This window comes from Homo sapiens, chromosome 9 (assembly GCF_000001405.40).
Source record: "Homo sapiens chromosome 9, GRCh38.p14 Primary Assembly".
Classification (NCBI taxonomy): Eukaryota; Metazoa; Chordata; class Mammalia; order Primates; family Hominidae; genus Homo; species Homo sapiens.
This window is the reverse complement of record NC_000009.12, coordinates 121,241,374-121,263,844: the sequence shown is the minus strand read 5'-3', so window position 1 is coordinate 121,263,844 and position 22,471 is coordinate 121,241,374. Positions and strand designations below refer to the sequence as shown.

The window sequence follows — 22,471 nt, the reverse complement described above, 5'->3', positions numbered from 1 at the left end:
CAATCTCGGTTCACCGCAACCTCCACCTCCCAGGTTCAAGCGATTCTGCTGCTTCAGCCTCCTAGTAGCTGGGATTACAGGCACCCGCAACAACGCCCGGCTAATTTTGTATTTTTAGTAGAGACGGGGTTTCTCCATATTGGTCAGGCTGGTCTCGAACTCCCGACCTCAGGTGATCCACCTGCCTCAGCCTACCAAAGTGCTGGGATTACAGGCGTGAGCCATCTTGCCCAGCCGAGACCTGATTCTTTTAGGAGTGTTTGGCAGTTCCTCCTTCACACACTCTCTCTCCTGCCACCACGTAAGACTTGCCTGCTTCCCTTTCCACCATGATTGTAAGTTTCCTGAGGCCTCCCAGCCATGTAGGACTGTGAGTCAATTAAACCTCTTTCCTTCATAAATTACCCAGTCTCAGGTATGTCTTTATAGCAGTGTGAAAATGACTAATACATAAATAGAGGTAATAAATTCTCAAAACTTAGTACTTCATAATTATTTTACTATATTTCACTATTATCTGTGCTCTTATTTTCACCATTTATCTATATGGTAGAAATACTGTATAATTGTGTGCAATTGCATTTCTACTCGCAACTCCACACTCAGTGACATCATGCTGGTAGCCCAGTCCCCACGGTGGGAATATTTACACCATGGAGATCAGGAAAGGCTATAAATCAGGGTTTTCCTTCTCCCTCCACCAAGAGCCTTTCGTTTAACATTTACCAGCACACCACTGCTCAAAACCTGGGCTTCCCCCATTCGACTCACTGCATTCAGATTGTCCATTTATGTGTATATCTCATTAGACTGGCAGCTCAGTGGAAGGAGAAAATGTGTTTGCTTGGTTTTCCGACATCATCCCAGTGTCAAATAGTGCTTGGCACAGAGCAGATGTTTAGCACGTTTTTATTGGATTAATGAATTGGTGAATGAGGAAAGTGACCACAGATGGGTTTGGTCAGATAGAGTGATTGGGGACACTACGGGAGGACTCAAGAGAGGGTTGCTCTTTGAATTTCAAGAGCCATTATTCTAGACATGTTCTGAATGCCCCAGGCAGGAATGTGTTTGTCCCACTATTTTAATGAGAACTTAAAACTTTGTGTTCCATATAAGCACTGCCAGCTCAGCCCTAAGACTTGGATTCCTAGCAGCTATGATTCTGTAATTATGCCCAATAAATGCCAGTAAGATGCTAAACAGCATAAGCATCAGTGACTTCACTGTTACACAGCAGAGGATTTCCCAGCTAGCCAGCCTCCCAGGTTAGATTTTTCAGGAAAGAGCAAAACTGCCTGGAGGTTCTTCCTCCACAGCTTAACAGAGCTGGCCCTATGACAGTGGCATGCATAATAATAACTAAAAGCATAATTATAACTGCCACATTCTGAGTGCTTACTCTATGCCGGTCACTTTATTATTTCAATTAAGCTTGACAATTGCCCTCTAAGTTAGGTATTCTTGTCTCCAATTTTACAAATAAAATAAATAGGCTCAAAAAGGATAAGTAATCTGCTTAAGCTTCCACAGCTAGGTGAGTGGTAGAGCTGGGATTTGAATCCAGGTCTGTCTCCAAAGCCCAGATTCTTTCTATAGCCAGAGTGAAAGAAGGCCAAGGGAAAGGTAAGGTCTTTTCCATGCTCCCTTCTCAGGATCAAGAATTATTTAATTTCATCTCGACAACGTTAGGATCTGATGTTAGGCCCCTCTCTGTACACTTCATATAATGGTTGACTACAGCTCGTTGTTTCTTTGTATGGAAGGTATTTGGAGCTGTTCAAGAAATGTGGAACTACTCTCAGAAAGATTGTGAACTGCTGTGCTTTAGAAACAAAAAGTAATTCATAAAATCCCTTAAACACACCCACACCAAAAAAATCTTGGAGATGGTGCTATTTTTGTACTCAGAGGCCTTGAAGGACAGGACACCCTGAGTTACTCAACCTCTCTGAGCCTTGGTTTCTTCCTCTGATGATAATATCCACTCAAAGAATTATGGGGAAATTAAATGAATTCTCTGTGTCAAGGCCTCAGGCATATAAAGGGCTCTGTCAACAGTGGCTGGTGTCATCATGGGAACCCCCTAGGTACGGGCGTGGAGGTGTTTAAGGTGAATGAGCTTGAGCCAGTGTGTCAGGGATACAGGGTACATCCACTGAGTTACGGGAGACCAAGCCATATGGCAAGATGGATGGGTCTTATAAAAAACGGGAGGAAACCATATTCATGGATGCCTGCTCTGGGCATTATCTCCTCCAAAGCTGACGAAAATTTCTCAGATTGGAACTACTCTCACTCCCAGTTCATAGATCGAGAAACTGAGGCACAGCAAGGTGAAATCTCTTATTTACATTTCACAACTAGGGAATGGCAGAGCTGGGACTGGAACCCAGGTTTTGCTCCAAAGCCACTGCCTTTCATGTGGGGCTGGGAGCATGCCAGGCTGAATGAAGGCACTGGGCAGGAGGAAGCTGTCGCAGGCTCACACAGGAGACTGACACTGTTGGAGCAAAATCAAGACGTTTCCTGTGGAGGGGCACAGGGGCCCACAGCCCTAACAGCCCATGCCTGCCAGGGATTTAGCAGGAAGAGCTGGCTTTTGTTCTAGATGAATCAGCCCAGCTGTTTCTGAAAGCCCAGCCCCACTCTTCTGGGCTCAGCGGACCAGAAGGCATTCAGCTGTCCCCGCAGGCCACCAGTGGGATGGGAGGGGGCAGTACTTTGTACAGTGGACTGCACCATTTACAGAGAGTTATATTATCACAACACCGAACAATGGGCTTTTCAAATGTTGTGCTGTTTCTTGGAGTTGAAACACAATCGGGCCAGCAATGCATTACCTTCTTAGGAATTTAGAGAAACTTAAAACAAACAAACAGACAAACAAACAAAAAAACTGATGATTGGATTAAAGTTTCAGTCCAAAGTTGATCTCCCTCCTTTCTCCTCCTCCCCTTCCACTTTCTCCTTCTTACATTCCCTTCTCCCTGTTCTTTTGCACTTCTGTTTCTTTTTCCTGGTTTTTCTCCTCTCTCATCACTGTTGTCAGCAGTAGCAGACTTTGCTGTGAAGTTCTAATAGCTTTGCCCAGGGAAGTAGAACATCCGAGTTCCACCCCGTGTCTCCTCTACCTTGCAAATGACCCTGGGCAAGTCATCCACTCCTCTGAGTCTCCATTGTGTCATCGGCAAACTGGGACAATAGAACAAAGTAACTCCAAGAGAGATTATACCTGGCTCATAAAACCAGGAGCTTTTCCAGCCCCTGGTTGTGCTGCACTAGCCCCAGCACAGGTTTCCTGTCCCAGGGAGAACCAGAGAGCATTTGTCTCATAAGATCCATTCAATTGCCTTTCAAAACGTTAGCTCTTAGGTCAAGTCACTCTAGGTTGTCTTACTTTACATCTGGAATTTATAAGAATGTCTTCAAAAATGCACAGTGCAAATGCAATCACTTCACTTAATTTTTTCTCAAACCAAAACCACCAACTTGAGAAATCAATACCTAATGAGCAAGAAGCACGTTTCCCCGATGGAGATTTCCTCTCCTCCTGAATGCTCCCCAAATTCTGAGGCTGAGGCAGTCCCAGCGAGAAGGGGTTCATCCTGCCACACCAAGCAGGCAGTCTAGAGTTTTGCTTTCTCCCTGGCGCAGTCTTGCTGCTTTGACCTTGACCTCAGCCAGATGACCCTGCAGATCCAGGTCTCTAGGTGAGCCCCCTTGGGGTCTCAGGGAGCTGTCCAGCTTCCTCTGTGCTTAGTCCAGACTCACGCTCAGCTTCTCACACAGCCATTCTCCAAAGTCTTAGCTGGCTAGAAATCTTATATCAAATTTGTTTGTATACCTGTCCCTCTTTCTTGTCTCCAGATGCCCTACATGTCCCCCTGTAGGGATGGGGGAGGAGCCTTTAAACAGTTTAAGGTGAAGTACCCCAGAAAGACTTTCAAGCCTGTTTTTCCCTAGAGCTGAAGAAGAAAAGCAGTTAAATCTTCAGCAGCAAGCTGTGATCTCTCTTTTAAAGTATACTACTTGATCATGGCATAAAATATTAATACAGCAGATGCAGTCTGGCTTCATGAGACCCACGAAAGGCTCTGGGAATCCCCGGTGCCAACAGTCACGGCTCTTAAGCTCTACTTTTTATCACTAATCCAGACAAGCTCTGAGCTTCTTTAGCCTGGCGTTGGTGGCCACACATGATCTGGCCTTGCTTTAACCCTCCAGCCTCATCTCATCCCCTTCCCACCTGAACCCCATGCCCCTATGCCACAGAATCCTGCTGGTTCCTGTCAGGTCATGCTTTGTATCACCCCAAAACCTTCAAACCTTGGCACCCCAGCTCTCTTTCTTGGGACTGCGTGTCCTAATACTTTCCCCCTGTTTAACTCTCCTTTATTTTTTCAGGCTCAGTTTTAGAGGACCCTCCTTGCAAAGCCTTCCCTGTCTCCTCCAGGGTGTATTACATTAGCAGCCCCTCCGTGGTTTCACAGTTCCTTGCACATGCCTCCATCATAGTACTTTCTGGACCATTCTGCTGAAATAGGCTCCCCTGTCTCGTTATTCTCCACTCCAGAACTCTGCTTAATTCCCTTGTAAGTGATGGTTATTTGTAATGATTTCATTACTGGGTTGTTTACCATCTCCCACACTAGACTTCGAGCTCCCTGAGGGCAGGGCCAGATATCTCAATCTCTGCTTCCTGTGAAAATGCCCAGCACAGCACCCTGGACAGATCAGACCCTCAATACACACTGAATTGAATGAATTGCACTGACACTTATCACACTGTGGTATACTTACCTGTTTATGTTTCTAGCTCTATCAGTGAATCCCTCATGGGCAGGGACCAAGTCTTGTTCACTATTGTGCTCCCAGTGCCCAACACAGAACTTGGTATACATTAGGAGACTAGTAAATGTTGAATGAATGAATGGATGAATGAAATGAATAAAGAGATGAACTAACATGAAGGCAGGATGAACAGATGATCAAATAAAGAAATTCCAAGTAACCTTTCTGAAGAAACTAATTGATATTTTTTACTTTTACTATTTGAAATAAATATCAGTCTCTTCTCTTGATTCTGCTCACTTATGCTGCTGGGAAAAAAAAAAAACTTGTAATAGAATTGGTCAAGGCTAACCTTTAAAAAACAATCACCACAGAAATCCAATAACTGGAGTAGCCTTTTAACGAGTAGGCAAGATGTTGATATCAATTTACGTTAATTAGTAAGGCTAAGATACCTTCTCAAAATGTCTGCTTCTGCAATCTTCTAGATTTGTATCAGATATCACCCCTTAGTCTTTCCAAGTTTCATATTTAAAAAAAAATCAGTAACTACTTAAATATCTTCAATATAGTTTTTTTTTTTTTTCTGATAAGGAGTCTCACTCTGTCGCCCAGGCTGGAGTGCAGTGGTGCAATCCCGGCTCACTGCAACCTCCTCCTCCTGGGTTCAAGCAATTCTCATGCCTCAGCCTCCTGAGTAGCTGAGATTACAGGCACACACCACCACGCCCAGCTAATATTTGTATTTTTAGTAGAGACAGGGTTTCACCACGTTGGCCAGGATGGCCTTGGCCTTGAACTCGTGGCCTCAAGTAATCCGCCTGCCTCAGCCTCTCATTCAATACAGTCCTTATCTTTAAGTAAAGTAGCCATATTTCCCCAAGTTCCCTGAAATCAGAGCATAGCACCAGATATAGGACTGACAACAGTCTGACACTGTAAACCGAGGACTGCCCTAGAATACTCCGGATGGGTAGTCAGCACACCCACAGATGTTTCTATTTTTACACAGTTGTGATCATCACATTTAAGCAATTATAGACTATCATTTTTTCCTCCTTACATTATTAAGCAAACATTTTTCCATGTTGCCATATGTTCTTTATACTTTTTCTGAACAAGTCATTTAACCTCCTGAGCCTCTGGCTTTTTGTTTTGTTTCATTTTTTTGTTTTGTTTTGAGACAGGGTCTCACTCTGTTACCCAGGCTGGAGTGCAGTGACGCAATCTTGGCTCACTGCAACTTCCACATCCCAGGTTCAAGTGATTCTCCTGCCTCAGCCTCCTGAGTAGCTGAGATTACAGGTGCACACCAACACACCCACCTAATTTTTCTATCTTTAGTAGAGATGGGGTTTCGCCATGTTGGCCAGGCTGGTCTCGAACTCCTGACCTCAAGTGATCTGCCTGCCTTGGCCTCTCAAAGTGCTGGGATTACAGACGGGAGCCACCACATCTGGGTGAGCCTCAGTTTTCTCACCTGTAATCACTTCATCTCCAGGGAACCTCCCCTAGAATTCTTGAGAGTTCAATGAGCTAATGGAAGGGGTTATTCTAGCAAGTAAGAGTACAGGTTTCAGGGGTCACATACCTTCGTGGAAGCCTGGCTCTGAAAATTCCTTATTAGGTTAACTTTGGGAAGTTACTTATCATCTTTGATTCCCGATTTTCTCATTTGCAAACTGGAAATTATAGTGCCTTATGCAGAGAATTGGTATGTGGATTAAATGGGCTTTTTAAAATGTATGTGTAATATTTAACCTAATGCCTGACACATGGTAGGTCTTAATAAATTATAGCTACTATTATTATAGTTACTATTAATTATCATACTTTTCTTTTCCGTAGAGTATATATATAATGATTACTTGACCTTTATCAAATGATTTCCTGTTTCTTACTCTTTTTTTTAATTGATAAATAATAGTTGTACATATTTTGGGGTACAAATGATATTTTGACACATGCATATACAATGTGTAATGATTGAATCAGGGTAATTTGGATCTCTATTGCCTCAAACATTTCTCTTTTTTGTGTTGGGAACATTACAAATCTTCTGTTCTAGCTATTTTGAAATATACAATAAATTATTGTTAATTATAATTTACTGTACTATCAAATTCTAGAACTTATTCCTTTTTTTCTTTTTCTTTTTTTGAGATGGAGTCTCATTCTGTTTTGCCCAGGCTGGAGTGCAGTGGCACGATCTTGGCTCACTGCAGCCTCTACCTTCTGGGTTCAAGCGATTCTCCTGTCTCAGCCTCCTGAGTAGCTGGGACTACAGATTTCCGCCACCACGGCCAGCTAATTTTTTTTTTGTTGTTGTATTTTTAGTAGAGATGGGGTTTCACCACGTTGGCCAGACTGGTCTCGAACTCCTGACCTCAGGTGATCCACCTGCCTCAGCCTCCCAAAGTGCTGGGATTACAGGCATAAGCCACCGAGCCCAGCCTAGAACTTATTTATTTTATCTGACTGCATTTTTGTAGCCTTCAGCCAACTTCTCTTCATCCTCTCTTCCTCCTTACCCTCCCCAGCCACAATTCTACTTTCTACATCCTCGAGACCCATGGTTTTCACTCTCACAGATGAGTGGGAACATGCAGTATTTGTCTTTCTGTGCCTGGCTTATTTCACTTAACATAATGACTTTCAGTTCCACCCATGTTGCTGCAAATGACAAAATTTCATTCTTTTTAATGGCTAAATAATATTCAAGTGCATATATACATCACGTTTTCTTTTGGCTCCTTACTCCTATAGGTAATTTCTGCAAGGTATATCCTCAGGCATACAATGTTTTTCTTCTCAAAAAAAGAAAATCTCTTCAGATTAAACAGATTAAACTCCCAAGAAAAGCCAGCACAGGCACATAGCCTTCCCCTCCCGCTCTTACTTGGTGAGCTCTTGATTTCTTAAGACCCAATTCAAAATATCTTCCTCTAAAAAGGCTCATTTGACCCCCGAAGAGAGTAGATCTCCCCCAGCCCCACTTTACCGAGAACTCACCATCTCTCTCATAGGTATCTCTAAGTCCTCTCCCTCCAAACAATTCCCTCATGACCCCAGAAGGATTTTTCTGGAAATCATGTAAAGCACTGTGTGGGAAAACAGAATTTCTTGATGTCTAGTTAGAGTGTAAATTGATGCAAGATGAAAAAGGACAATTGGAACCGCTATTCTCTATGATCCAGCAGTTCCACCCCCAGGAATTTTTCCTACAGATGTACTCAAATGGGCAAAATGGCATATTTACAAGTTATTAATCATTGCTTGCAATAGCAAAATAATGGAAATCACCTAAAGGTTCACCAAAAGAAGATTATTTAAATAAATTTATTTAAATAAATCATAATACATGCATACAGTAGAATGCCATTCCATTATAAACAAAGAAAGTGGAAATCCTTATGTAGTAAAATGGGGGCATTCTCAAGCTATATCTATATTTTTATGTGTATGGAATATCAGCATATGTGTTAAAAATAAAGAGGGGAAAGAATAGATACATGAGCTAGGCATGGTGGCTTATGCCCATAATCTCAGCACTTTGGGAGACTGAGGTGGGAGGACCACTTGAGGCCAGGAATTTGAGACCAGCCTGGGAAACACAGTAATATCCCGTCTCTATAAAAAATACAAAAATTAGCCAGGCATCGTGGCGCACGCCTACTCCCAGATACCCAGGGACTAGGTGGAAGGATCACTTGAGCCCAGGAAGTTGAGGATGCAGTGACTGTTGTGCCACTGCACTCTAGACTGGGTGACATAGCGAGACCCTGTCTCAAAAATAAATAAATGGCCGGGTGCGGTGGTTCACACCTGTACTACCAGCACTTTGGGAGGCCGAGGTGGGCAGATCACAAGGTGAGGAGATGGAGACCATCCTGGCTAATACGGTGAAACCCTGTCTCTACTAAAAATACAAAAAATTAGCCGGGCGTGGTGGCGGGCGCCTGTAGTCCCAGCTACTCGGGAGGCTGAGGGAGGAGAATGGTGTGAACCCAGGGGGCAGAGCTTGCAGTGAGCCGAGATCACGCCACTGACTCCAGCCTGGGCGACAGAGAGAGACTCTGTCTCAAAATAAATAAACAAACAAATAAATAAATAAAATGAAGATATATGTATTTGCTTGTACTTACGTAAAATACTTTTGTAAGGGTATATAAGAAACTGGTAACACTGGTCACCCCTGGGGAGAATACTAGGTAGCTGGCAGGCAGGGCAAAAGGAGATTTTTCTGTGTATATCCTTTTGTTGCTTTTGAATTTTAAACTAGATATATGTATTAGCTATTCAAAATAATAATAATAACATTAGAAATAAAACGTGGTGGAGACACAAACATATTGCTACGTGTGCTCATTGCTAAAAGGGCTAGCAGAAGAATTCATCTTTGGGAGAAAATTGCTCTTTCAGAGGAGAGAAAAATCTTTCTAAAGGTCTTTTGGTTGTGCAAAGCCAAAGACCAGAGCCTGGTCTGGAGAAGAAAGGTTAAAATCATCCTAAAGAGAAGTATGACCTCTTTAGGTAAAGAGGCTCTGCTTTTAAATAATTCTTTCCTCCTGTGTGGTGGACCCCGGAGACAGGAGTCTGAGGGAGCAGGAACTTGGGAGAGAGAAAAGGGAAGAGAAAGAACTTACATTTAAATAAGAATGAAACCCAGGACTGAGAGACTCTGTAAATGGTATAAAGCCTAAGGCATTTAGAGCAGGTGATCTTGTTTCACGGGAAGCCAAGTCTTGCTATTACGCATGTAGCAGGCTGTGGAGGCTAAAACTGTGTTAGGATCAAAGCTGAGCTGTTTTGTAGTTGCTTCCCTTTCTTTGCCTACCTGCCACAATTTTTGCCCCAACTGTATTATGCAGTTTGAAGGCTGAGCGCTCCTGACCGCTTAAGGAAAAGGAAATGATCTTTTTTCTTTTTTGGCTTGTTTTAATTGCTGATGATCCAGACTCTAGATTAAATAGGTCATCAAGTCTTCTGCTAAAGAACGAGAGAACAGAGGAACTGGTAGAGAGAAAGAAGGAAGTACTATTGAGGAAGCCAAAAAAGGAGAAAGAAGAATTTTCTCAAAAGAGTAGGAGACCAGAGGAAAGGAGAAGAAGAAAGTGAAGGGAGGGTCACCCCAAGAGCCCTGCCAGCCTGGGAGCTGATGTAGGGTAGTTTACCAAAAAGGAAGAGGACCTGAAGCTCAGTGGAGACAGGTGAATGGAACCAGCAAAGAAGGGTTTCAAGGGACATTGTTTGAGCAACAAGGAGCAGGATGAGACTTGAGTCATTGTCACAGATCTCTCAGCCATAACCAGAGAGAGAACCGCCAGTTCCTGCACCAAATAGAGAGAGAACCGCCTATTCCTGCACCAAATTCATCTACACACTTTGTTTCACTGTGGGCAGCTGGTAAATATGTCACTCCATTAGCAGTGAACACATTGATGCCTGCCAAGCTGGAGAGATGCCCACTCATACCATATAACTTCGAGATGAACCTGTCCCGTGACTCCAGGTTGCTGATACCTACATAATGCTGCAGGACAAAACCTATAAGCTCATAGCAGGGGAATGGGGCTCTGGGCCCAGAGCAGTGGTGACAAGAAAGCTCTGGGCCTCTGTACTTGGTAAGGGAAAGATAACAAGAAATATGGGAGCTGAACTGAACAAGCTCAAACCCTCCTGAGAGGAGACAATGGCTAATGGCACCACTGTTACAAACAGATAGGGACAATCTGGATGGCAGTTGTCTGACAAATCTGACAACATTACTCACCTGCTTAAAACCTGTCAAGGGTTATGCAACGGACTGGAAGCTTGTGACCACCAAAATTTGTAGGCTGACATTCTAACCCCAATGTGATGCTATTTGGAAGTGGGGCCTTTGGGAGGTAATTCGGTTATGAGAGTAGAGCCCTCATGAATGGGATTAGTGCCCTTATAAGAAGAGGCTAAAGACCCAGCTAGCTCTCTTCCCACCACGTGAGGCACAATGGAAGCTGGTAGTCTGCAACCCAGAAGAGGGCTCTCACCAGAGCCCAACTATGCTGGCACCCTGATCTTAGACTTCCAGCCTCTAGAACTGTGAGAAATAAATGTCTTTTGTTTATAAGCCATCCAGTTCATGGTATTTTCCTATAGTCCCCCCAGACTGACTAAGACAAGCTACTTTCCACCTCCAGGGTAAATTCTGAATTTCTTACCCTGGTGTATCAGTCAGGAAAAGTTAGGTTATATTATAGTAACAAATTGCCCCCCCGAAATCCTAGTGTCTTAATACAGCAAAAGTTTATTTCTTGCTCATGACACATATCCAATGCATGTGCTCCACATAATCACTCATGGACCCCAGACTGATGCAGAGGCCACCATATTGAAGTTGCACTTGGAAGACGTGGCTGCCTTGTTCATTACAGTGAGGCAGGAAAGCTAAGGGAGAGCTCACACTCACTCTTTTATGCTTTAGCCCAGAACTAACATGTGTGGCTTTTGCCTATAGCCCATTGGTGAAACTAGTCATGTGGTTCCTCCAACTGCCAAAAGACTAGGAAATGTGGAAAGTAGGTAGATAGATACTTGGTGAACAGTAAATGTCTCCGTCATATGTAGCATTCAAGATCTTTTGAAATCTGCCTCCTGGAGCCCCTCCAGCTTCATTTCCTGCCACTGTCCACCTTCCCAAACTCATAATCCACCACTGGCCACAGGAGTCTTCTCCCAACTCCCCAAGCGTGTCCTTGAACCATCACTCCCCCATATCTTAGCTCACGCTGGTTTCTGAACATATAATGCCCTTTTTCTACCTACTCCAACTGTCAAAATTCTACTTCTCCTTTTAAGCCCAGCTCAAATGCTACCTTCCCCATTTCTTATCCCTGGGGTAAAATGAATTGACCCTTCCTGGTTTGGCCACATCTCTTTTTATATACCCCCATCAACACTTAAGTTCTATGGGACTGACTTCCTGGCATTTTTTTTTTACAGTGCCTGGTACATAGTGGGCACTGAATAAGCATTTGTTGAATAAATGCTTCTAATTTTTCAAATTATACTTGAATTGTTTGTATGTCTTTTGTTTGTTTGTTTGTTTTGGAGACAGAGTTTTGCTCTTGTCGCCCAGGCTGGAGTGCAATGGCATGATCTCGGCTCACTGCAACCTCTGCCTCCCGGGTTCAAGTGATTCTCCTGCCTCAGCCTCCTGAGTAGCTGGGATTACAGGTGTCTGCCACCACACCCGGCTAATTTTTTTGTATTTTTAATAGAGACAGGGTTTCACCACATTGGCCAGGCTGGTCTGGAACTCCTGACCTCAGGTGATCTTCCTGCCTCAGCCTCCCAAAGTGCTGGGATTACAGGTGTGAGCCATCGCGCCTGGCCATTTGTATGTCTTTCTCCACACCCATTCACCTACCCTCAACACCTCCATTGTCCATTACCTACCAGCATCAGCACATTTTTCAATGTTTAGAGGTGATATAACAATATTATTTCTTATATTTAATTTAGAATGATGATTTTAAAAATAATTGCAAATGAGTTGTTTAAAAATGAACATCAGGCTGGGCACGGTAGCTCACGCCTATAATCCTAGCACTTTGGGAGGCCGAGTTGGGTGGATCACTTGAGGCCAGGAGTTCGAAACCAGCCTGGCCAACATGGTGAAACTCTGTCTCAACTAAAAATAAAAAAAATTAAAAATTAAAAATTAGCCAAGTATGGTGACAGGTGCCTATAATCTCAGCTAATTGGGAGGCTGAGGCAGGAGAACCACTTGAACCCGGGAGACGGAGGTTGCAGTGAACTGAGATCATGCCACTGCACTTCAGCCTGGGTGAAGAGTGAGAATCCATCTCAAAAAAAAAAAAAGAACACATCAGCTGTAGGTATGTTATACTTCAGTTCAAAAATTTACTTAAAAAAACAAACAGGGTCGGGTGCAGTGGCTCATGCCTGTAATCTCAGTATGCTGGGATGCCGCGGCAGGAGGATAGCTAGAGCTCAGGAGTTTAAGACCAGTCTGGACAATGTGGCGAAACCCCAACTCTACAAAAAAAAATACAAAAAATTAGTCAGGCATGGTGGCAAGTGCCTGTAGTCCCAGCTACTTGGGAGGCTAAGGTAGGAGCCAGACCTGTCTCAAAGCACACACACACACACACACACACACACACACACACACACCCCAAGCAGGCATGATAAGCAAAAAAGGGAAGGATTGGAGGGGCATGGTGGCTCACACCTGTAACCCCAGCATTTTGGGAGGCCGAGGCAGGTGAATCATGAGGTCGGGAGTTCGAGACCAGCCTGGCCAACATGGTGAAACCCCATCTCTACTAAAAATACAAAAAATAAGCCAGGCGTGGTGGCACATGCCTGTAGTCTCAGCTACTTGGGAGCCTAAGGTAGGAGGATGGCTTGAGCCTGGGAAGTAGAGGTTGCAGTGAGCCAAGATCACACAGCTGCACTACAGCCTGAGTGACAGAGCCAGACCCTATCTCAAAGCACACACACACACACCAAACAGGTGTGATAAGCCAAAAAGGGAAAGATCGGCTGGGCGCCGTGGCTCACGCCTGTAATCTCAGAATTTGGGAGGCCAAGGCGGGCAAATCACAAGGTCAGGAGTTCGAAACCAGCCTGGCCAACATGGTGAAACCCCGTCTCTACTAAAAATACAAAAAATTAGCTGGGTGTAGTGGCAGGCACCTGTAATCCCAGTTACTCAGGAGGCTGAGGCAGGAGATTCACTTGAACCCAGGAGGCGGAGGTTGCAGTGAGCCAAGATTGTGCCACTGCACTCCGGCCTGGGCGACAGAGTGAGACTCCATCTCAAAAAAAAAAAAAAAAAAAAGAGAAGGATCTAGAGAGTAAATTGCACAAAGGCAAAGGTACTTCCAGAAGATATAGTCATTGGTGTGTGAGTTTTGTAACAGCATCTGTAGACAAATGTATGAAAGTACGACCAGAGCTAGCTCAAGCAACAGGGAGCCAAAGGCTAGACTTACATCCCGGCTTCAGGATAAGGTAGCATCATCTCCAAGTTCTATGGGAACCACACAGCCCTCTTTCTTCTCTCATCTGTTTCTCCCTGAGCATAGACGTCATTATTCTCACTCACTAAAAAACCAGCTTTTTTACTTCTCAAGAAACAGCCACTTGAATCATCAGCCAAAGCCACCTAGTTTCCATTTCTTTCAAGAAAGCAGCAGCCATTTTCTTTCCCTAATTTCAAGAACACAGAGAAGGACTCTGATTGGCCCAGCTTGCTCACGTGCCCACCTGGTCCAATCACTGGTGACCAGGGCAGAAAGTCCCCAGGTATACATGTGGCTATTTCTCACCATGACCTTGTTTATTGAGGAATCAGACACCAGAAAACAGGAAGTGGAAAAAAATATTGCTGCCCAAACCAGAAAGGAGAACCAGTCTTGAGAAAGTCGTATCAGAGAGAAAGAATAGATAAATAGAAATATATCCTCTGAAAGGAAGGGATGATAAGGACATGTTATTTGGGAAGGAATTAAGTGGCATGAACCACTTCATGGTTACTTTCTTGCATCTTATTTATTTATTTATTGAGACAGGGTCTCAGGCTGTCGCCCAGGCTGGAATGCAGTGGCACGATCATGGCTCACTGCAGCCTCCACCTCCCAGGCTCAGGTGATCCTCCTGCCTCAGCCTCCCAAGTAGCTTGGACCACAGGCACATGCCACCATGCCTGGCTAAATTTTTGTATTTAAAAAAAAATTTTTTTTTTTGTACAGACCAGGTTTCACCATGTTGCTCAGGTTGGTCTCAAACTCCTGGAGTCAGGTGATCCACTCGCCTCACCCTCCCAGAGTGCTGGGATTACAGGTGTGAGCCACCACGCCCAGTCTCTTGCATCTCCTTAGACATCATCCTGCCTGCACCTCTGTTGCCAAGTCCTATCAAGTCTATCTCCTCAATCTTTTGAAATAAGCCCCTCCTCACCATCTCCCATTGCCTCAGCTCCTATGTTATCATCTTACATCTAGATTGTCACAAAAGTCTCCTAACTGGCCTCAGTGCCCCCAATCTCATCTCGTGCTAATCATCCACTACACGATGGCCTCTAAATGATCTTTCTTAAAAACATAACCCTGTCATTTCCCTGCCTAAAAATCTTCAACAGCCCCCATCACCTTCCAGACCTCTTAGCACAGCCTCCAAGGCCTTCCTTGATCTAGCACCAGCCTCACCTACTCGCCTTCTTTCCCAGACACCAGGGCTTCTCCCCTGCCCACCCCACCAATAATCTATGTTTGTGTGTCTTCTAAGGCATTTGCTCTCTCTGTTCCCTCTGCCTAGGATGCCTTTCCCATTTCCATGACCTCTACCTGGTCGTGTTACTTATCCTTCAAGGCCCAGTTCAATGTCCTCCTTGCCTCTGAATGCCTCCATATTGTATCCATTTTTAGCTTTGGATACACCTGTTCCCCTGCTGTGTTCTTTCAGAGCAGTAACCAGATCTCATGTATTTTCAAACCCCCAGTTTCAAGCCTAGGTCTTGACCCATAGTAAGACTCAATAAATTTATGGAAGGAAGGAGGGACGAGATGGGGAAGGGAGAGGAGGAGAGAAAAAGGAAAGAAGGAAGGCAAGAGAAGGGAAGTGAAGGAAGGGAAGGGAAGAAGGGAGAAGGAGGAAGATGAAAGAGAGGGAGGGAGGATTAAGGAAAGAGACAAGGGCTTGGGTGTGGTGGTGCACACCTGTAATCCCAGCTACTCAGGAGGCTGAGGCAGGAGAATCACTTGAACCTGGGAGGCAGAGGTTGCAGTGAGCCGAGATTGCATCATTGCACTCCAGCCTGGGCAACAGAGTGAGACTCTGACCCCCCTGCTAAAAAAAAAGAGTCAAGGGCTTGAAGTTATAACAATTGTTTTCTTCTTTATGTATCACTGGCTAATGGGGATACTTTACAGCACTTCTCTGAGACTCAGTCTCCTCCTTTATAAAATAACATCTGTCCTATCTAACTCCCTTTGTTGGGATCAAATAAAGGAGAGAATGTGGAAGCACCTTATTCATTTCTATGCAAATACATAGCATAGCATATACATACTCTCCTAATGAACTGAAGACTGCCCCTCTTCATGGATGGCCTTCATTGGTGAGACTCCCTTGCAGTGGCGGGGTGTGGTGGGCACTGGGGGTGGTGGGGTGGGGGGGTGAGGTTGCTTTACCTGGGCTTTATCAGTGACCCATTACCAGAATCTCGTGAGTCAAGTAGGGCTAACATTGGGGTTCATTAGGATCCCAGTGTAACAACTAAGTCAATTTGATTATTTGATTTGGTGATTTGATTATTCTATTTTGGATGCTTTTTGTACTTATTTTAAATCTTGGATGCTCTTTTCCTCCTGATTCAAATGAATGCTACAGAATACCCACAGCTATTGCCTAGATTAGTGATTTAAACTCAAATAAAACATTTTCTACTCACTTCTCTCTCAAGCTTCTGGATCAGTTTAATTGAAAAGTAGCTTAAAAGCCAGACTGACGTTGCAATGGAAGATGAAGAAAAACGATTTCAGTTTGCAACTACTTATGGGTGTGAGTCAGGATGTTCTCAATACTATGTCACTAGAATGGAAGGTGGAAGTCAGAGGCTGCACAGTTGGAAGGCTACAGTTGTTGCGTTGTATTTTTAAGCCTGATGGTGTAAGAATTGGAACAATGTGGGACAAATGCCAGACAGCAGTGTGGCGGGGGCTCCCTTGCGTGGGAGTAGATGGGCCCTTGAGCACTGATATAGCCTTTCTTTCCCTGAGCACCAAGGCCTGAGCACCTCTGGTCTGGCTGGTTCCTGACTATCCATGGGCTGCAATGACCACTGAACTTGAGCAAGCCCCTGTGAGCACCCTGGGGCAGCCGGGAACCGAGTCTTCCTTGCCCCTGCTGGCTGACTTTCCGCAGTCAACCAAAATTCAACCTGCCCAAGGCATCATTCTCAGCAATTTTTGCACCCATTCATGATCTCATGATCTGGCCTGACTCAACTATATAGATGCCTATTGCTCTGTCTGCCTCCCACTTCCCACCTACACGTCTCTGGGAATTGCTCTTCTGCCTACAGGAACACCACAGGAACCACAGGAGCAGCCATATCACACACGCCTTAAACTCTGGCCATGACTCACTTAGGAGTGGGCCCTCCCCACTGGACGGGACAATCTCAGCTTCCGGACCAATCAAGCTCTTCTTCCAGAAGTTTTGGAACTGGGTCTGGAGAAAAAAACCTGTCTCTATCTGAATGGCTGAACTTGGACTTGTGCAAGTTTTCCATGATGTGGGCTGGAAAATGAAGGAAGCTGGTCTGCAATGAGAGGGTGGTGATAGACAGTCATGGTAATGCTGAAGAGCGGCGATGAGAGCTGGAGAAAGGATATGGAGGGACCTGATATTGTGAACTATGTTCTTCATGAGTCTTGGTGGCACTTCTGTCCTAGAATTCTGAATTTCCATAATAAATCTCTAAATTTTGCCTAAACTATGCTAAGGTTTCTATTAGTTGCAACCAAAAAAGTCTCATGAATATACATGGATAAACCCTAGTTTCAATATTTGTGTCCATGATAATTGCCTCATTTTCGCATTAACTAGCTTTATAATTAAGTTAAGAAATTTGAATTCATAGAAATGGAATACCTATCAAATTGGATGCTTTAGGCCTCAAGCTTGCTCTTTCATTCTCACAAAGTGACTGCAGCAGCTCTGAGCATAGCATCCTCAGACAACTATCTTCACATCTCCTTTTTAAAAAAAAAACTTTTTTATTATGGAAAATGTTAAAACCACTCAAATGTAGAAAGAGTAGTATAATGATCCTAATGTGCCCACCACCCAGCTTTTACAATTGCCACTAAATACTCATCCTGAATCATCTACGTGTTCACATACCTTTCCTTTCCCTGCCCTCAGATAATTTTGAGGCAAATCTTAGATATATTATTTCTTCTATAAATATTTCAGAATATATCTCTAAAAGGTACAAGTTCTTTTTAAAAAATACAATACCATTATCACAGTTTAACATATTGACAATCATTTCTGAGTTTCAGTAAATATACTATAACATTTATATTTCTCTGGTTGTCTTTTAAATGCGTTTTTCAAGCTGGGCACGGTGGCACACATCTGTAGTCCTAGCTACTCAAGAGGCTGAGGCAAGAGGGTCACTTGAGCCCAACAGTTCAAGGCTATAGAGAGCCATGATTGCACCTGTGAATAGCCTCTGCACTCCAGCCTGGGCAACTTAGCAAGACCTCGTCTCTTTTTTAAAAAGTGTTTTTCTTTTCACAGTTTACTTGAATTTCAATTATTTTTAGTAGGCATAGCTAGGAGATGTATATTGTTTTCTAAAGATAAAAGGGACAAAGCTCAGTGGTTCATGCCTATAATCCCAATTCTTTGGGAGGCCGAGGCAGGAGCATCGCTTGAGCTCAGGAGTTTGAGACCAGCCTGGGCAACAAAGTGAGACCTTGTCTCTAATAATATGTTTTTAAAAAATTAACTGGGCATGGTGGTGCACACCTGTAGTTCCAGCTACTAGAGGGGCTGAGGCATGAGGATTGCTTGAGCCCAGGAGGTCAAGGCTGCAGTGAGCCCTGATCATGCCACTGCACTCCTGCATGGGTGACAGAGTGAGACCCTGACTCAAAATGAAAGAAAGAAAGAAAGAAAAGGTATAATGCATCCATACTGATACTTCCAATTGAAGTGGAGGACTATAGACTTTTTGCTCAATCTTATCAATCTTAGATTTATATCTCCTATCAACTATGCCAAATATCTTAATTTTTAAGGACATCAACATAATTATTATTTTCATCCTGTAATACACAGCTCTTTTTGCCAGATATAGTCTTCTAGGAGTATAGAATCGAATGATAGTGATTTAAGGTCACTAAAGTCTTCTTTGTGTGGTTACGTCATCAACTGGACACACAGGGTCATTTTAATTTAACATTATTTTTACTTTCTAGGAATTTGATTTTTTCTTAATTTTGCATGTAATTACATAAAATGTTTACATTGTTCCAAAGTTAAATCTACTTTTTTTTTAGAAGCTAGCTTCTAAAGCTATATTTTTAGAAGCCTAGCTTCCATCCCTGTACCTTCCTTTCTATTCTTTCCCTTTTGCTATGGGAATATTTTATTAAATTTTTATAGTTTTTCTCTTATTTGTAGATAAATGATTGCATACTATACATACTTTTCTCTTTTTACTTAAAAATATATCCTGGAGATCACACATAGTAGTGGAGTAATTTCTTGTCCCTTGTAGTAGCTGCATAATACTTCATTTGGGGGATGTACCATCATTTATTCAATTAGTTTTCCATCGATTAAAATTTGAGTTTCCATTTTCTTGCTATTACAAATAGAGCTGCAGTGGCTAGCCTTGCACATGCACCTTTTTATATTTTTGCTACTGCATATTTGTGATAGCTATCTAGAAGTGGGATTACTATACCACTGCCTACCTCTCAGAATGGCTAAAATTAAGAGAAAGAAAACTGACAATGCTAAATGCTGATGAGGTTGTGGAGCAACTGGAACTCTCATACATTACTAGTGGGAATGCAAAATGGTGCAGCCACTTTGGAAAACATTTTGCCAGTCTCTTATAAAATGTAACATGCAATATATTTATAATACGGCCAACAATCCTTTTCCTACATATTTACTCAAGAGACATGAAAACATATTTTCACATTTGTCTGTACCTGAACATTTATAGAAGCTTTATTCATAATCACCAAAAACTAGAAGCAATTCAAGTTTCTTTCATCTGATGAATACATTGTGATACATCTATTTAATCTAATTGCTACCCAATGATAAAAAGGAACAAACTTCTGACCCACTACAACATGGATGAATTTCAAATGCACTGTGCTAAGGGAAAGAAGCCAGATTTAAAAAGCTACATATGCTATGATTCCATTTATACATTCTCAAAAAGACAATATTACAGGGACAGAGAACAGACCAGTGGTTGCCAGGGGCTAAGCCAAGGGGGTGGTTTGGCTACTAAGGGGCAACATAAATTAATTTCTTGGGGTGATGAAACTGGTCTACATTTTGATTGTGATATAATTACACAACTATATGTGCTGGTCAAAACTCATACAATTGTGCACTAAAAATATGGCTAGGTGCAGTGGCTCACACCTGTAATCCCAGCACTTTGGGAGGCCAAGATGGGTGGATCACCTGAGGTCAGGAGTTCAAGACCAGCCCGGCCAACCTGGTGAAACCCTGTTTCTTCTAAAAATACAAAAATTAACTGGGCGTGGTGGTGCACACCTGTAATCCCAGCTACTCGGGAGGCTGAGGCAGGAGAATCTCTTGAACCCAGGAGGCAGAGGTTACAGTGAGCCAAGATCGTGCCATTGCACTCCAGCCTGGGCAACAAGAGCAAAACGCTGCTCCCACCCCCCTCAAAAATGAATTTTACTATATGTACATTATACCTCAATAACCCTGACCTTGAAAAAAATAAATGTACAAGTAATTTTGCTAGTTAGTACCAAAATTCCCTCTGTGGTAGGCTAATTAATGGCCCCTACAGATAACCAGATCCTAATTCCTGGAACTTTGGGATGTTAGCTTATATGGCAAAAGGGATTTTGCAGATGTGATTAAGAATCTTAAGATGGGGAGAATGTCCTGAATTATCGAAGTGATCTCTAAATGTAATCGTAAGTTTCCTTATAAAGGATAGGCAGAAGGAGATTTTACCATGGAGGAGAAGGCAGTATGAAGACAGAACAGAGATCCGAAGATGCTACGTGGCTGGCCTTGAAGATGAAGGAAGGAACCATGTGCCAAGGAATGCAAGGAACGAAACTCTAGAAGCCAGAAAAGGCAGGGAAGTGGATTCTCCCTGGAGCCTTCAGAGGGAGCACAGCCCTGCCAACACCTTCATTCTAGCCCAGGGAGACTGCTGAACTCCAGAACTTTAAGAGAATAAATTGTGTTGTGTTAAGTTACCAAGTTTGTGGTAATTTGTTACAGCAGTGATAGGAAACTAATGTACCCTCCATAGGGGTTGTGCTGTTTTATGTTCCTGCCAGAGATGTAGGTACATCACCCTTTCCTTAAGGATGAGGAAAATTTACGCAGAAGCCCAGGAGCAGGCAGGGTTTCTATAGGAAAATTTTCCTCTTTCTTAAGGAAAAGATGACATGCCTTACATCCCCTGTTATCTCATAGGCCAGAATTGCATCACATGCCCATTTCTAAACCAATCACTGGCCAAAGTAATCAGGCTTCCTCCTGCCCCTTGTCCTGAGGCTGCACCATTCTCTCCTGAGCCACTCAGCTGTCTGATCCTGAACAATTATCAGAGCTGCGCTGTCAAGGAATGAAAAGGGCATAGCTTTGGTTTGGCAACCAACAGTCCCTACCTCAAAACTTATTTGCAGAAAAAGAAATTTCTCAATTTAACATATATTTTATAAAAGTTAAAAACCTTGGACCAGACTCTCTAAGGAACCATCCACTGTGGTCTCCAGGCCATGGCTTTCCCCTGTCTAGCCCCATTTGGTTCGTTACTCCTCTATCCCCCTTTTTCCAGAGGACAGCAGGCCCAGCCGAACTCTGTGAGTCACCAAGGTTAAATGAGGCCTTATGATGAATACACAAGCCATCTTCCAGAAAAATCTCTCCCTTGCAAGTACTGATTCAAGCCGTATTAAGGGAATCTTTTCTGTTTCCTCCCTGTTTTAGCTTTTCTCTGACATGTTATCCTAGATTTTAAAGCTGCAAAGGCCCTTAGAGTAATAATAATGATGGTAATTATGATAGTTAATTATTTACAATGCTCATTTATTGAGCTTTTACTAGGTTCCAGGCACTTAGTATTTATTATCCCATTTAACTCTCAAGTCTTCCTGAAGATTGATGAGGTAGGTATCATCCCTTTGAGAAATACTAATAGATATAATAATAGAGATTATTATCATGCCTGTCTGATGGATTTTGGAACCCAAGAAAAGAAATAATAAGTTGTCCAAAGTAATTGCTGGCACTACATTTTGAACCAAGATCTGTAGAGACCCAAAGTTCATGCTGTCAAACACCCTGAAGTCCAAAACCTTTCACTCTACAGATGACAACACAGGGGTGTGGGGTTGGAGACAGAGGGGAGGCCATAAGCATTTTGCTCAGTTCCATAACCAGAGAGTGAGCCCTCACTTACTGAGCAGCAAACAGCTTGCATTAGCTTTTTTCTCTCCTTCACAGGAATCAAATATTTACAAATCATGATGTATCCGAGTTTAATAAGAGGTGTTTATCTTCTTGCAGAGCAATGGACTCCTTTTGCATTGTGATTTTTCCTATTTATCTGGCATCATGGAAGAATAAAAATAGCAACTATAGCATGAAACGTGCTTTACAGTTTATAAGACACTTCCAAATACTTTCTCTCACATGATCATTGCTACAGCTCTGTTAAGCAGAAAGATAGGATTATCCCTCTTCACAAGAGAAAAAACTAAGGCCCGAAGAGGTTACATTACCTGCCCCAAGGTCTCACAGATCATTAAATGACAGAACCAAAAATCAAAACCTGTGGGGAAGTTTTTTGGCTGAGGATATGACATCCACGGACAGGGACTCTTCCTATGAGTTTTAGACTCATATTTTC

The 22,471-nt window shown here is 43.1% G+C and overlaps 1 protein-coding gene across 6 annotated transcripts in view, besides 2 other annotated features; it reads right to left on the bottom strand.

Moving 5' to 3' along the window:
- The window catches only part of GSN (gelsolin), a 131,360-nt gene that overhangs the window by 68,998 nt on the left and 39,891 nt on the right, over positions 1-22,471 (bottom strand). The window contains exon 7 of one of the 6 annotated variants that reach the window (NM_001353054.1): positions 15,522-15,569. The exons of the other annotated variants lie outside the window; for them this stretch is intronic. The gene's annotated coding sequence lies outside the window, so the exon portion shown is untranslated. The remainder of the gene's footprint in view (positions 1-15,521; positions 15,570-22,471) is intronic. 6 annotated transcript variants of the gene reach the window in all.
- Positions 2,039-2,538: an enhancer, noted in NCBI's record as "H3K4me1 hESC enhancer chr9:124023585-124024084 (GRCh37/hg19 assembly coordinates)". NCBI's record gives its function as "activates a minimal SCP1, AML or CMV promoter by ChIP-STARR-seq in naive H9 embryonic stem cells {active_cell/tissue: H9 hESC(naive)}" and the evidence as "EXISTENCE:reporter gene assay evidence [ECO:0000049][PMID:30033119]".
- Positions 13,976-14,025: an enhancer, noted in NCBI's record as "active region_28921". NCBI's record gives its function as "activates an Ori minimal core promoter by ATAC-STARR-seq in GM12878 lymphoblastoid cells {active_cell/tissue: GM12878}" and the evidence as "EXISTENCE:reporter gene assay evidence [ECO:0000049][PMID:35858748]".